At 46.8% G+C, this 14,467-nt stretch overlaps 1 protein-coding gene across 16 annotated transcripts in view, besides 2 other annotated features; it reads right to left on the reverse strand.

Annotated features, from left to right (window-relative positions):
* Window positions 1-14,467, reverse strand: part of EBF3 (EBF transcription factor 3) — a 129,042-nt gene that overhangs the window by 45,526 nt on the left and 69,049 nt on the right. The gene's annotated exons all lie outside the window — the stretch shown is intronic.
* Window positions 12,064-13,826: an enhancer, noted in NCBI's record as "VISTA enhancer hs232". NCBI's record gives its function as "enhancer in: hindbrain (rhombencephalon)[5/7]" and the evidence as "EXISTENCE:transgenic organism evidence [ECO:0001131][PMID:17130149]".
* Window positions 13,848-14,456: an enhancer, noted in NCBI's record as "H3K4me1 hESC enhancer chr10:131692870-131693478 (GRCh37/hg19 assembly coordinates)". NCBI's record gives its function as "activates a minimal SCP1, AML or CMV promoter by ChIP-STARR-seq in primed H9 embryonic stem cells {active_cell/tissue: H9 hESC(primed)}" and the evidence as "EXISTENCE:reporter gene assay evidence [ECO:0000049][PMID:30033119]".

Consider the following 14,467-nt stretch of genomic DNA (forward strand, 5'->3'; position numbering starts at 1 on the left):
GCCTCAGCAGAGAGAAAGAAGAGCTCTGCGCTTACCTCTTACCCTAGTTTTGGTCATGTCTGAGTTGGGGATTCAATTAAGCCTTTGCAAGGTGGCTGGCACCGTACAGCAGGTGTGTGACTCTGATATTGTGCAGAGTTACACACGGAGCAAATGTATGCTTTCACGAGGAGGTGCTCAGTGAGCCACACGATTTCAGTGTTTGGGGAGGGGGTGAGAAAATTGAATGCCCAACATGTGAAGTCAAAAGGTAATTCTCATCCTTTACTCAATTACCCTTTAATTGGCTTTTTCCTAAGAAATATCTGACAACCACTTTACATATCTCACTTCTAGAGTCTGGTACACAAAGAATTTAATACTCTTGTTATGAAAGGAAAAATCTTTCCTATGTCAGAAAATCTTTGGCTTTAGCACCAATAAACTCTTTATTACTGCAAAACATGGATTTGCTGCTCCATCACGAAGAGGCGATAAAAATTCTAACCTGTCATTAGTACATTATGCTTAATTGTGTACAGTGTGTCTCTCGTTGCATCTGTTGGCCCGTCATCAAAATGACCATTATGTGCACTAATTCCCTGACCCTGTCTTTATTTCCCTAAAGAGTCATCATCTTTCACAGTAGGTACCAGAGTAAATCAAGCTTGAAATATGGGCTTTATTTACTTGTTTCTCCCAGGCAGAGGGGAAGACAGCAGCTCGAGATAAACTGCTACACGCCAGGCGCGGCTTTCCCAGCCCCATTCCACTCGGAAACAGCCCACAGAATCCTGGGAAGTTCTCAGGAACCAGCAGAAGGGGGAAAGGTGTGATCTTATTACTTTTGAAATGAGGTTTCCTCTTTCGCGGTGCACAGGGACTAGGACAGGGAACCATATGGGCAACCTCATTCATTCTTGGGAGGGCTGGTTCCAGGAGGCTGAGTTGTGGGAGGTTCCCTCTACTAACTCATGAGGGTCCTGTGAAGATGGACCAAGGGGCACAGTCGGGCCCTGTGCCGGGGAGGACAGGGGTGGAGGGGCAGCTGGGTGCCACTCCGGATATCTTGAGTTTAATCTAGAAATCCCGAGGCCCTCATTTCTGCTGGGACAATGACTCATCTGCTCTAAATAGAGTTGTGGCCACCACTGCACCCAAGGAAGAAAGAGTTTGGTCTTGGTTGTGTTTGTTTCAGAGTCCCAACAAAAAACTCCAGTGCCAGCATAAGCGTGGAGCAGCAGAATGAGGACACCTTAAACTGGGCTAAAACAAATAATGGGATCAACCGTTTTAACTGGAGCCCAATCTAGGTATCACACAAGAAAGGGGCAAGCCCCCACCGCAGTGACTAATTTCAAAGTCTGCTCTATTTCTGTGTGTTTAAGCTATGAATTAGTTCATTTATATTTACTTTTATGAAGCTGATTAACCAGAGCTTCTCTATCTGATGAAAATCATTTTAATTGTAGTGTTAGGCTCCTGTGTAATATCCATTACATTATGAACTGTTTAAATTCTACATGGGTATTGTGTAAATTGGCCCTTTGTGAGCTAGCAGGCAATTAGGACCAAACAGCTCTCCTTTAAACGGCTACAGAACTTTGTGGTGTTGTTCAGGACAATCAGAAACAAAGGAGGCTGTTTAATTGTAATTTAATGGAATATCAAGGAGTCCGTGGCATTAGATGCTGGCAACAGAGAGCAGGAGAGAAAAATTAACTGCAATTATGTTTGATTAAAGCTATCCTTCTCAATAATCAGCGGTCCTGACAGGCCATGGGGCTCTAGTGGGTTCCAGGATGGCAAAAGGTGTTGAGCAATATTAGGGCCAATAAAGGGGATATTAGCATAGCTAATTACAGCCCTGCAAAACCTGTAAAGGGGGCCTCTGTGTATTGTAATGTGTGAAATAATTGGCCAAGGCCGTTATCAATTACATAAGGAATGAATTTGGTTTGTCAGAGAAAAGCTGATGAGATGCACTTCATCTGACACCATCCCTACCCTCATGTTTCCATGTAGCTAAGAACGTATCCACTTTTATCAAAAGCTGCAACTTACCACTGGCCAAACCACTGATAAAATTATCTTGCCAGCAAGTGTTGGGTAATTAATACAGCCCATCCTCACCGCCTTCCCTGCCGCTGTTGTTCTCACCTAACTGAAGCCACTAATCATGCAATGATGATTTCTTTCCCTCTGGTCAAAGGAGAAATAGATTGTCTCCTTAGAAATGCAGTGGGCTTGGCGGTCGCACCCTGGTGATTGAAGAGAAAAAGGAAACTTTGAACTGTTCTAATGGCTTGCTTTTTGCATGTGGCTATCACTTGTTTGAAATTACCTACTTCTCAGCATCTCAGGAACCCTGTACAGGATTTTTTCTTTAATCATCAAGTTTCAGACTGTTCCAGGGCTTGGTTTCTCCAGCGCTTGAAAACGTGAGTCACTGTACACTGGAAGGTGTGACACTGACTGGCCCCCTGAAAAGACGCCTCATCAAACCGAGCTGTGACTCCTAGGTGCGCGCCTACCCCCACGCAGGGTTAAGTGGCCACGCTGCAAGGAAAGAGCTCTGGCTCTTAGCACAGCCTCCCGTGCCTGGGTTCCAGCCTCGGTCCTAGAAGGACAACCCCCTTTTGCGGCCCTCAATGATGGGTAATGTGGGAAATCAGAGTCAAGAATAAAAAATGTTGGTATCTTTTATTGTGGGGGATGGGGGGAACCTGCTTTTGAGTTTTAAGGCAGAGAGCTCTTAATAAGCAGCAAACTCATACAACAGTGGATGGGCCTGCAGGCCATCCATCAAAAACCCAAAGTGTTCGTGTGTGAATCATGGAGGTGACAGCTTCCAGAGGTTCCTGGGGGCTGCAGAGAGCCCTATTCCGGATCGAGCCCCCATGTTTTCAGTTACTACTGTTTTAATACGTAATAACCTTGACAAGGAAAAATGAGTACTGAAAACCAGCCAGAAAACACAGTTTTAAAAGTCACCGTTCACTGGTGGTTGCTGGGGTGGGGGAGGGGAGGATGGGGAACAGCTGCTTCGTGGGTACAGGGTTTCCTCTTGTGGGGGTAACGGGGACATTTGGAACTAGATGGTGGTGATGGTTGCACAACCTTGTGAGTGCACTAAATGCCACAGAACTGTTCACTTTAAAATGGTTAATTTCATGTTATGCCAACATCACTTCAGCGAACAAAAAACGTCCTGCCCCGAAGGAGAACACAAGAGTGGGGCACGTGATCCGAGGCCCTCATGGGGGCCGGTGGCTGCAGCCTTTACTGTGCTATTGAAATGAAATAGTTAAGAGTCAAATTAAAAGATAGAGCCTTTAAGAGACTTTTCCCTGACTGATAAGAGTGGCCAGTGGAGTGCTTCCTCGAGGTCCCTGCTAATTACTGGGAAGTCCCTGAAAGCAGTGGCCACAGCTGTGGTGTGTGCACACCCGGCCATCAGTCGCTGGAGTATTGATTACTGAGCAATTCTAGCCGATCGGGTTCGGGCGCTTCAGAGACAATGTGCTTCCCTCACAAAACCTGTAATGAGCAGTTCCTATACAAGACTACATTCTGCTGACATCAGATCTGTGCACTAAGATAGTACACAGGTCAATACGTATTGGATTTCCAAAATGCGAGGGTCTTAATGTCAGGCCTCTCTTTTTCTCTCACTCCTGCCATTAGCTATTACTGGGCTCACGTTCTTTAATGCCATACGGGAGAAAAAATCTGCTCCATTAGTCTGATTTATTCTTCAAATATGCCATGACAAATTGCTTTAACACCAGACTTATTAAATTCTTGTACATTTCAAGTTATGGGTCTCATATACTTGTAGTGCCTGCATGACGTCATAGCGAAGGGGCAGAGGGCGGCAAGCTTGAATTTTACAGCTGTGCCCAGATGTCCTTTGTTGGGGGCTCCCCTCTCCAGGCGAGAGGTCTGGATGGCTGGACTCCCCAACTGGGAGTACCTGGCCTGCACGTGCATGCTCCCCGAGCACACACGCTATCCTGCATGTAAATGTAGATGTATGAGGATTTGAAAATATCCACGGCTTGACTTGCAGTTCAACAACGACTGGCCTTTGTCTGGGGATTCTGGCTCTACTGTAGCCGAGCCCGTCTCTAGTGGACTCCAGCTATTTTACTTCCCTCCGCTGTAGTAACCACACCGCATTAACAATATTTGTACTACAATCGCCAAGGGACCCACTTCCCAGATTCTATCACTTCTTTATCTCCTGACAAATACCTCACTATCGAACATTATTAGGTTTAGAAAATTAACCCTTCACAGCCTAGAGCCACACTAGGCCCCACCGTCCCTCCAAAGAGCCTTATCGCTAAATTTCTGCTATAATGGTTTTTCTTTTCATCACAATTTCAGCAGCGGCTGTCAAGAGGCACTTATAGATACCATGATCTTGTACTTTTGCAATGATTCTCATTAAAATGATGCCAAAGAGATCTGATGGGATTTAATGGCTTTGCCGGCCAGTTCAATATCCCCTTCCAGAACAGATCCCCGCCAAGTCCTCCGTTTGGAGAAATTTGTATGACTCGCATTAAACTTTTCCGGGTGGTTTTAATGTGTTCAGATAAGTAAAATCCAGGTAGACACTCTAAAGGCAAGTACATCCCAGAGCTACAAGCTTCGTCAGCCACCCCACTCCGCCCGCTGTCAGTGTTCTAGTTAGTATTTTCTGCAACTGCTCCGGATATTTCATGATAGTTTTGATAAGGTTATCTGTTTCAAAGAAGTCAACTGCACAACACAAAAGAAATGTGAAGTGCACTATATTTACACTAGGGTTCTTGTTTCAAGTGCCTATCTTTCTTTCCCCCCTTTACCTATTTCTCTATTTCTAATGGGCAATGCAGCACTGACATTATTTCCCCAGCAGATCACGCGCCCTGTCAATCAGTCTGTATTTTGTCTTTCGCTGCGGGCTCATTAAAACAGCTTCCTCTCTCCCTCTGGACACTGTTCTATTTGCCAGCTCTGATCACGAAGCTCCTTATTTAAGAAAAATGCCAGCATCACTTGGCTCACAACAGACGCACCCCCCTGACTTGTTGCCAGCTCCAGGGGAGGCTTTTACAGGTTATGCAGAGATTAAGTGCCTATGCTTATCCCAACTTAGGGTTTCAAGCCTCTCCCACCATACGCGTGTGTGTTTTTAGGGATCTGAAGATCACGGGAATGCTTCTTTCGCCATCCTGATTCCTGATGGCTGGGGAGGTCATTCTCAAAATAAATGTGGGTGAGGGGGTGTTGTTTTTGGTTTTAATTTTTTTTTTTTTTTTTTTTTTTTTTTTGCTTCCCATCTCCAAGTGGGAAAGATCTTGTTAATCCTTTCCTCCTCGGATGTACATTTCCCCCATCCACACCAGCTTGCTTAATTAAGAACTATCATCTTTGTAGGCTGAATTATTAATAAAAAAATCACATTTTAAATCAAGCCTGTGCATGCACGGAGGACACCAGTGTTGGACCTGCCTATGCGGCTCTCTAGCCTTTTAGGTCCTGATTAAAAACTTATTAAAACATTATAAATGATTAATGGGCGCACAGCTCTGAGTGGCAATTATTAGTTTTAATGCAGGTAATGCAGCTTAATGAGGGGCACATGTGTGCAAAGCCTTAACTTCATTACTCCTGCGTGTCAACATATACAAGAGAAATGTGTGTACAGGTCATCCATTACTCGGAACAGCACCGAGCCCTCTCTCTTCACCTCCCTTTGTTGATGAGCCAGGAGCCATAAATTAATCCCGTTCTGTGGCTCGGGGAAGGACCAAGGTGTTAAAATCTCAGTAAACCCTGCTCGGCTCCCCACGCCACCAGGCAGCTGTGTTGGAATATTTCACAGATTATCTGTTCTGCGGCCCTCTGGTATGTGGGAATTTTTTTTTCCCTGGGATTTTTGCAGGTCGTCATTGTCTCTGCTCAGAAACAAGAGCTCCCGACATTCAGAGCTGACTGGGTTTCTTTCCCTTCTTGTTTTAAAAGGTCTGCAGGGGAGTTAGCTCCATCCTACCAGTGCCTAATTCACATTAGCACGGTTCTCCTAAATCTTCAGATGTGATTCCAATGTCTGTCCTTCTAACCGCTCCTCTCCTGTCGTGTGGGGTGCAGGAGACTATGTATGAGAGACACAGAGAGACGCACACTTGAGTGCCCCTGGTCAAGAAGGGGTTTTAACACTGGAATGCAGAAACAGAAGGAAATACCGATCAGCGCCTGGCTGCAACATGGAGATGTCAGGGTAAGCACAGGCCCGGGGAAGAGGCTGGGTGGGGGTTGTGGGCGGGGGGGGGGGGGAGGTGAATAGATGCATTTAGGATGCTGAGAGTCGGGGGCACTGGCCCACAAAGAAGCCCATACAAGTTGCAGCCCCACCTGGGACCCTCAGCCCTGGGCCTGCAACAGCCCACGGCTGGGGAGCATGCCACTCGGCCCAACTTTGCACGTCACCTTTCATTTTCTGTTTTTGTGACAAGCAGCTTGATCCAGCCTGATCTCCACTATCTGTTTGAAGAGTATTCAGGACTATTTGCATCATTTTATCGCTAATGTATAATATATGGCTCTAAAGTGAGCCCAAGCGCTGTCTTGTTACCGAGCATAAAAAAGTAAGGGCAATAAAGATACATTAGTTCTCTCAAGCACAGCGGCTATAATGCAAGCAAGAAAGGTTGCTGCTTACAGTTAAGAGGCAACCTTTCTGCCTGGCTAAGACAATGGAAGAGTAAAGAAAATGTCAAATCAAGAAAAGCTGGATTTAGAGATGAGGCAGCCCAGAATGACGTTGGTGCCATATTTTGTGGAACTATAATGCTGTTGGCAGCAAAGATCCGTGTTTCTGATTCATCTAGGGCCGCATGGCAAAGCTTTGTCAGTCTGTGCAAGGTATAAATAATTCAGGGTGAGAGATGGCAATTACAGGGCCCTGCACAACCAAAATGAATATTTTATGAGGACTAAAACTGCTCTGGAATGAATCATGCACATGGAGTCACACATGGCGAGTGGTGGGTTCGCACATGCCAGCCCCAAGAAGAGAGGCGCCGCGGCCCTGATCTCCTTTCAGAGCGTTGACTATAAACCTGGCGAATGGTAAGAGGCAAACAAAATCAGCTAACCCGCCCCCACGCTCCTCATAGATGCTCAGTCCCTAAAACGTCCAGTAGGGAAGCCCGGGACCATGCCATAGAAACTCCTTGCTGATCCATCCCAATCGGCCTCGTGGTTTGCTTATTTTTCTCCAATTGTTCAAACTATTGATAGGGTAAGCTGGGAACCTTCTCTTCGTGAGAAAAGGACTTGAATTTCTTGCACAGGGAGAAGAACAGTTTCGTTGTCCTCGATGGAACGTGGGCGTGCTCCAGGAAGGAGTTGCAGCGAGCATGCGTCACGCCCTCCGCGTGATTTTCCATTTTCCTGTCGGGGAGCAGCACCCGCTATGGCTCTTCCTCCGCCTTCTGGACCTGAACCTCACATGGTCCCAGTCAACAGACTGAAGGGCCCGAGGCGGTGGCTTTTGCGTCCTTAGATCCAAACTGGCGCGTCGAAGTTGCTTTCCTCGCTTTGAAAACTGGTAGACTCCTGATGGGGGCAGGATTTAAAGAGGTCGTTAAAGGCTGAAAGGAGGGTTTCATCTGTTACATTTCCTTCCAAAATGCTCCTGGTGAATTGCTAGAACAAATAACAACATTGTTCACAAGGCCGCGGAGGCCCAGTCCCACTGGTGAATGGCCATTGTGTTTGTCCAGCTACTGATACCTGCGCTTTTGTGGAGGAAAGAAGGCCGGGGCCACGACATCGGCGCAGCACAAGCATCCCTCTGTGCGGATGCCCAGAGCGGGTCCCGGCCGCGGTGGGAACCGAACACCAGATCCCTCTGAGAAGGTTTTCTTTAAATCCAGCTCCAATGCATTGTTTATGAAAACAAGGCTATTAGGTATATTAATAATTTGATAAATAGGGATTTGTCCTTAATTATTCATGAAGAACATTTGGCAACAGTAAAATTATATTCGCAGAACAGGTTTATAAACCAGCTAATTATAAATTAAGTATGCAAGAGAAAATTGCTAACCTTGAAATTAAAATATTTTATGATTCTGCAATTACAAAAAAAAAGGTAGGGAATTATCAAAACCCCAGTGTGGGCAGAGGGAGCAGCAGGCCTGGGCCTATACAGATGGTGGCGGCGCACAGGCCAGAGGCGTGACAGCAGAGGGGGTGGACCGGGAACCCCTGTCCCCTCCCCAACAGCCCCTCCAGTCGGGGTTTGTGCAACTTTCCAAGAGCTCATGGGAAGGAACCAGCAGCTGTCCACAAGGCAGCCCAGCATCTGCAGAAGGCCCTGGTCTGGTTCTTTGCAAAGGACATGGTGGTCCCCTCTGCTGGCCGCCAAAGCCCTGGCAGGTGAACAGAGCAGCATGTGCCCTGCAGAGAAGACCCCAACGCCCCTCCATGTCACTGCCCTCCCGCTGGGGCAGGGTCTACAGAGAGCATGGGGGCCAAAGGGACAAGGCCAGAGCTCGTGGCACAGGAGCGTGGTCCCGCTTGTCCCCACTAGAGGGCTTCTCGGACGGGCCTCAGCGGAAACCAGCAAACGCCAGGGTGGGCGGGCAGCCTTGGGCTGGGAGCAGCTCCTGCCTGCAACACACTTGGGACAGACCCCTCCTGCGGCTGGGCCGTCCCACTGATATGTGGGCTCTGCTGCCTGAGCACAGCTTTCTTGTCGGACGGTTCCATCATCCACCTGCTCCCCAAACTCTGCAGCCTCCCTGCACCCCCCACCCGCTAAACAGCCAGCAACACATTCCCAGTGAGTTCCACACACATTCCCTTGACTCATTTGATAAGAGAAGACAGATGCAGGGGAATCTTCCGTTCACTTTCTAATGACCAGATATCCTCACTCATAATTTGGGCAGAAGTTAAAAGAGGAAAACAACCAGGATAAATAATGAATGTCCTGTTGGGTGCAGGGAGGGGAAGTAGGCCATATTCCTCCACTTCTTTTCCCATGGCTATGTCACATCTGCAAAAAAAAAAAAAAAAAATGCAAACCGTAGAGGCTCAGGACATGCAGAGGCAGCCCCCGACCACTTTTACTACCCTGTAACTCAGTGACTCTTTCCACATTCCCTGAAATCAACGGGAAAATGAGCAAAGCCCATTGAAGTGCCTTTTTTTTTTTTTTTTTTTTTTTTTTTTTTGGTTATGAAGAGTCTTGACTTCCCTGAGAGTCAAAAGCCCCATTAATTGTTCATGTACCAGAGGTAGTGCAGGGCACACTCATGTGCCCGAGTCCTTACCCCGACGCTTGGAGACACAGCTGTGGGTCAGACAGCCAACCAATCAGGGAGGTCTCTGGGAACTCAGATAATGAAAATTTTTTCATGTATAAAATCCTTAATCAAAATGCGAGTGGTGTCATCTTGCAGTGCAGACACTGCAACTTAAAATTAATATACAACAGAACCTTCAGCAGAAGGAACATCCCCGGGCTGTGTGGTACAAGTGACCCTGAACTGTGGCCTGGACTGCCGAGACCCCAGGCGGCAGGCCGGCTCCAGGCCAGCATCGAGATCCCAGGGAAACAAGCTGTTGCTGCACCAGGATCCCCAAGGCCCGGAGGGACTCCAAAATGTGAGGGCAAATCGGCAAAGATGATGTAGCACAAAGAGCGCCATTAACACCATAAGGTGTGACGTGCACAGCGGGGCCTCCGCCAGCCTAATACTGGGCACGGCTTTAAGGCACCGTCAACCAATTAGTTTAACTCGATCAGCTAGTATCTAAAGAATATTTTTATCATTTGGAATAGACTATTTACCATTTGATAGGATACATTTCTTTCTTTACCGCTGGGATGCTCCACAGATGCTAAGCAACTTCCCCTAACAATATTTAAATTGCTTACAAAGCCTCTCTAAATATTTGCTATGTATTTAGCATGCCTAAGATTTGCCCGTTATCCCAAAGTCTTTTTGTTGTAAATTGCAATTTTACAACTTCATGCTCGTGATCTATTTTGACAAAGCTCTGCTGACACCCTCTATTGGCCTCTGAAGGCAAAAGAGCTGATACTCCACGAGTCACCAGAGAACTCTCAATTTGTTGTGAGACCGCGCTACTTTGCCATCCTCAATCTGCATGGAGAAAGATTAAACATTCAATTTGTTACTTGATAGGCCACAAGGTTCGCCACTTACCATACAAATGGAAAACATTACTGTCATTCCTCAACTTGCTTGCCTGAGTATTTTATTATTTGTAATATTTACTTCAGGGAAATTATGATTCATGTCATATTTATCTTCATGAAAAATGAGCATCTAAATGGAAATCACCTTTTGAATGTACCGGGATATAGTGTAATACTAATATGCTTCATGAACTATAAAATTTAGTCACAGTATATGGATATATTATAGCATGACTTTAATACTCTCCCATCAAGCAAATTTTCTCTGTGTTAAGCTGATACTCTGAGCCCTGATTCCAGTTTGATAATCATTACACCTACATGATGGTACAAGTCACTACTTGTAGATTTATGTGCCCTCTCAGCTCTTTTGCATTAATCTGCCTCTGAATAAGCTATTCGCACTTCCTCCCGTGCATGCAGGAAATTGGAATAAGGTGCAAATTTGTAGGCCTTAAATCTGAACAAGCACAGACAGATATTTTTCACCTGATACCATTCATTTGTTTCAAGTAAATACAAAAGACATTTTTTATTCTTTGTCTTTGTCCTAAGGCCGTTCTTCACGAAAACGACTGTTGTGTGTTTCCCTCCATATTTACATCCATTTTTGCAGAAGTCAGAGTTAAATGAACTATCTGCAATTAGCTCTGAGTCAGACTTGCAGTGATGTCTGTACCAATACAGGGTCCCCAGCAGGCCGCGCCATCCTTTGTGGATCCGTGGCCCGGTGGTCTGCCACCCAAGGAGGTGATGCCATGTATTACAAGCACAACAGAGCTCAGAGGCCCACAGCCCACTTTTGAGAATCCTTCTGGATAATTGGAGAGCATAAACTTCAGTGGCTCACGGCGTCTCTGAGGCCCTGGTAAGAGGCATTCCAATTCATTACAGAGGTAGTTCAGAAATATCTAAAAGTGACAGGAAGAGCTTGGCGTCACTCTCCCCCAATTATCCGGGAAATTCCGAGATTCCTGGCTAAACCCGTCCCAATCTCAAACCTTTTCCTCTCAGCTGACCTGCAGCCAATCAGGCTGTTAAGGGAGATTGATGGGCCCGCCTCTCTCTGGCCAACGGCCTGCCTGAGGACCCAGGGCTGGGACACTGGCAGGGGAAGCATTTCTCAGCAGCGGCAAGAAATGACAGAGTCAAGTGAACTTGACTGAGCAGGATGATCCCGGGTCTCTCCCCGGGTCCCAGGCTCCAACTGATGAGTAGCGGGGCTCTTAGTCGGGTTCCTCTTTGGAGCCCTTATGAAACTACCTGGGGCCAGGAGGCGGTGCTGGGGTGCCCCCAAGGAAACAGGAGAGGGGTAGGTCTTCACAGTGTGCACATGCCCCTGCTTTGGAACCCACTCCCGTAAAAGCAGTGAATAATTAATTTGATGAACTCAATTTCCATATAAAACTGTTGTCATTGGAACCATAGGAGCCAAGTGCAATGAGCTGTTTGGCGATTTCCACTTATTTGGGGATTTTGGTGCCACGGATGCCGGACACCTGTGAGGTGAGCAACACCATGGGTCCAGACCGGGAATGAGGCCTCCTGTGACGGCTCAGAGAGTGAGCCGTGTTGCATGAATGTTTATGTGCGTTACAAATTAATGATAATCACCACTGACCATAAATATAGCACAAGAATCACACGAGAGGGTCATAGCTACGAACCAGCTACATAAATAGAGTATGATTAGTCCATGTCTAAGAGTACATTCATCACTTAATGACTTTTCCCATTATGCCTGCACATTTTATCTAATCAGAAAGTAAGCCTGCTTGCTTTCACTGAGCAGGGTTAACCTAATAAGACTGCTGCTTAAACCACATCGAAACGAGGCATAACAAGCCAGCTTGATGAAAACGCTTTCCCAATCTGTGACAACGCACTTGAACGTCGCCATCAAATCATAACCCCCAAATATGTATTTTCCCATTTTAGGGGAGGGCGCCGGCAGCCAGCCGTTAATTAGCATACTTCCCATGCTCGTCATGAAGTCACGGGCTAATCTGGCACACACGGTTCGGAACAGGCTCCTGCCTGAATCAATCGTGAGAGCAGGGCGCTGGGCCCTCCCTCCCAGCTCTCCCTTTATATTTCAATAGTCCTATGACAATAATTGATTGTGATTCACTCCTGAAATGTACCAATCCCCGGGAAATGGCATGGGCTTTCATTCATCAATTTCAGCTTCATAAGTGGAAATTTATACAAGGTATGCAGATGTTTAGAGTTTGGGGTAATCAATAAGGAGTAAATAAAGATTGGCATTCACTATACTCCACTTGACAAGCCCCAGCCTAATGTTTGTCAAGCAAATTAAACACACTCAGACTTTTCACCTGCTCCGACAACAGCACCACATATGGCCCTGAAGTTAAAAATAAGAAAATGTGCATACATTATCATACATAATGTACAACTCCCTCCATTTAATATGCAAATTTTGTAAAATATTACTGAATACCTTCTGTTCTAAATGAATAAATTTGAATTGCAATTAGAATAATCTTGTATAATTAATGAAAACTGTCAATTTTTGTTCATAAGTAATTTGATTAACATGTTGATAGGACACTTATCAAGTTCAGTAAACTGTTAGATTAGGAAGATGAAAAAATTTGAAGAAAATTTTTACCAGCTCTGACAATTTCCCCTGGCATGGTAAACAAAGACTTGCTGGCAAACTTCCTGACGCCGGGAACGAGCCTCTCCAGCTAATCTGCAAATCACAGCGCACGCATGAAACCCGGACCACCTTCTCCATTTCTTCTGCGCTCCCCTCCTCTCCAGCTAAGCCAGAGTTTAAAGCTACAGTTAATTTCATTGATCAGTCTGACTCGGAACGTCTGCTGAGGTCAACAGCAAGGTGAGCGCCTCTGTTACAGGAAGCGTGCAGGCCTGTCAGCAGACCTGCTGGCTTCCCTGGTGGGGGTGCACGGGGCCCCACGTGTGAGGGACTCTCCACAGCCACCCTCCGTTTGGGGTGAACAAAGCGCGTGCTTCTCCTACCCAAGCCCCACTCCCCAACTCGTGTGGCTGGAGATGCAACCCACAGGCAGAATAATTTCGGTAAAGGCTTAAGTGCCCCCCTCCTTCCTATTAACCTGCTCCCCAGTCCTGTTCCTGTTCTTATTTTCTAATAGAAATGAAACTTTTATGATATAGACGTGGGCTGGCTTAAAGGGAAAATCTGTCAAGCTGGTGATCTGCACTTGGGTGTCTCCTGCGCAGAACTTTAGATGTTTAATTCATAAATCCTGTCATCCATGTAAACCTCCTGATTTCATAATGAATAACTCTTCATCATTTAATTAATTTAATAATGCCTTTCAAAATCCATAAATGAAGGGGGTTCTAAAATGGGTGCATTAATTAGTCACAACGAGGGCTGAGGACTCACTTGTCAACCCTGAGCCTGTCAGTTTTAGGACGACCAGAAGAGATGCCAAGGTCTGTACCCATCACCCAGGACCTTGCCCCCGTGGCTGGCACATCCCACAGGTCCCAGGGGAGAGGCCCCCTGCAGGGCTCGGTGACCTATGATCCAGCACCTTGCCTCTGGGCCCCGCCTCTGTGCCCCAGCTCCTCCTCAGACCGAGCTGGAAGGAGGCTTTCTACTCTGCTTGGAAGCTCACTGACCAGGCTCTCCATTGCTCACTGGGGCCCTCCAGCTCCCCAGGTTGCAGCAGCCATGGCTCTCCCAATAGCCTGGATGACCCTCCTGCTTCCAGGGCAGACTCTTCCAGAAAACTGCATCTGCCTGGGGCCTCCACAGAGCCTATTCTAACATTTGTCAACATCATCTGTTTTCAACTTTGCAATATCTCAGCTTCCTCTGACAGTAGGTAAAAGGCATCAAGATTCCCAATGTTTACATGCTGCATTTTCAGGAAGTTGCCAGAGGGACAGAGTCTCCTGCTGGTGACTTCCTACTCAGGCTGGCAGCAGCCTGTCTGCAGATGTGGGTGAGTCCCTGGGTCAGTGAGCACAAAGTCCTGGGCACCTTCTGGGGCAAGGCAGTGCTCATGGCAGAGGCTGTAAAGCCTGCAGGACGGGTAAAGCCAGGCAAAATGAGTGGGCATGCGGAACGGGGACAGTAAGGCCAGGTTCAGCCCCTTGTTCTGCTTCTTCCTCATGGGCCACTGGGCGAGACACTTAATTTTGCCGAGATTCCATTCGTCCATCGACTTCATGGAGCTGCTGGGAGGACTATATGGAATTGCTTGCATAAAGACCTCATGCCTTCACTCAACCACT

This window comes from Homo sapiens, chromosome 10 (genome assembly GCF_000001405.40).
Source record: "Homo sapiens chromosome 10, GRCh38.p14 Primary Assembly".
Lineage (NCBI taxonomy): Eukaryota > Metazoa > Chordata > Mammalia > Primates > Hominidae > Homo > Homo sapiens.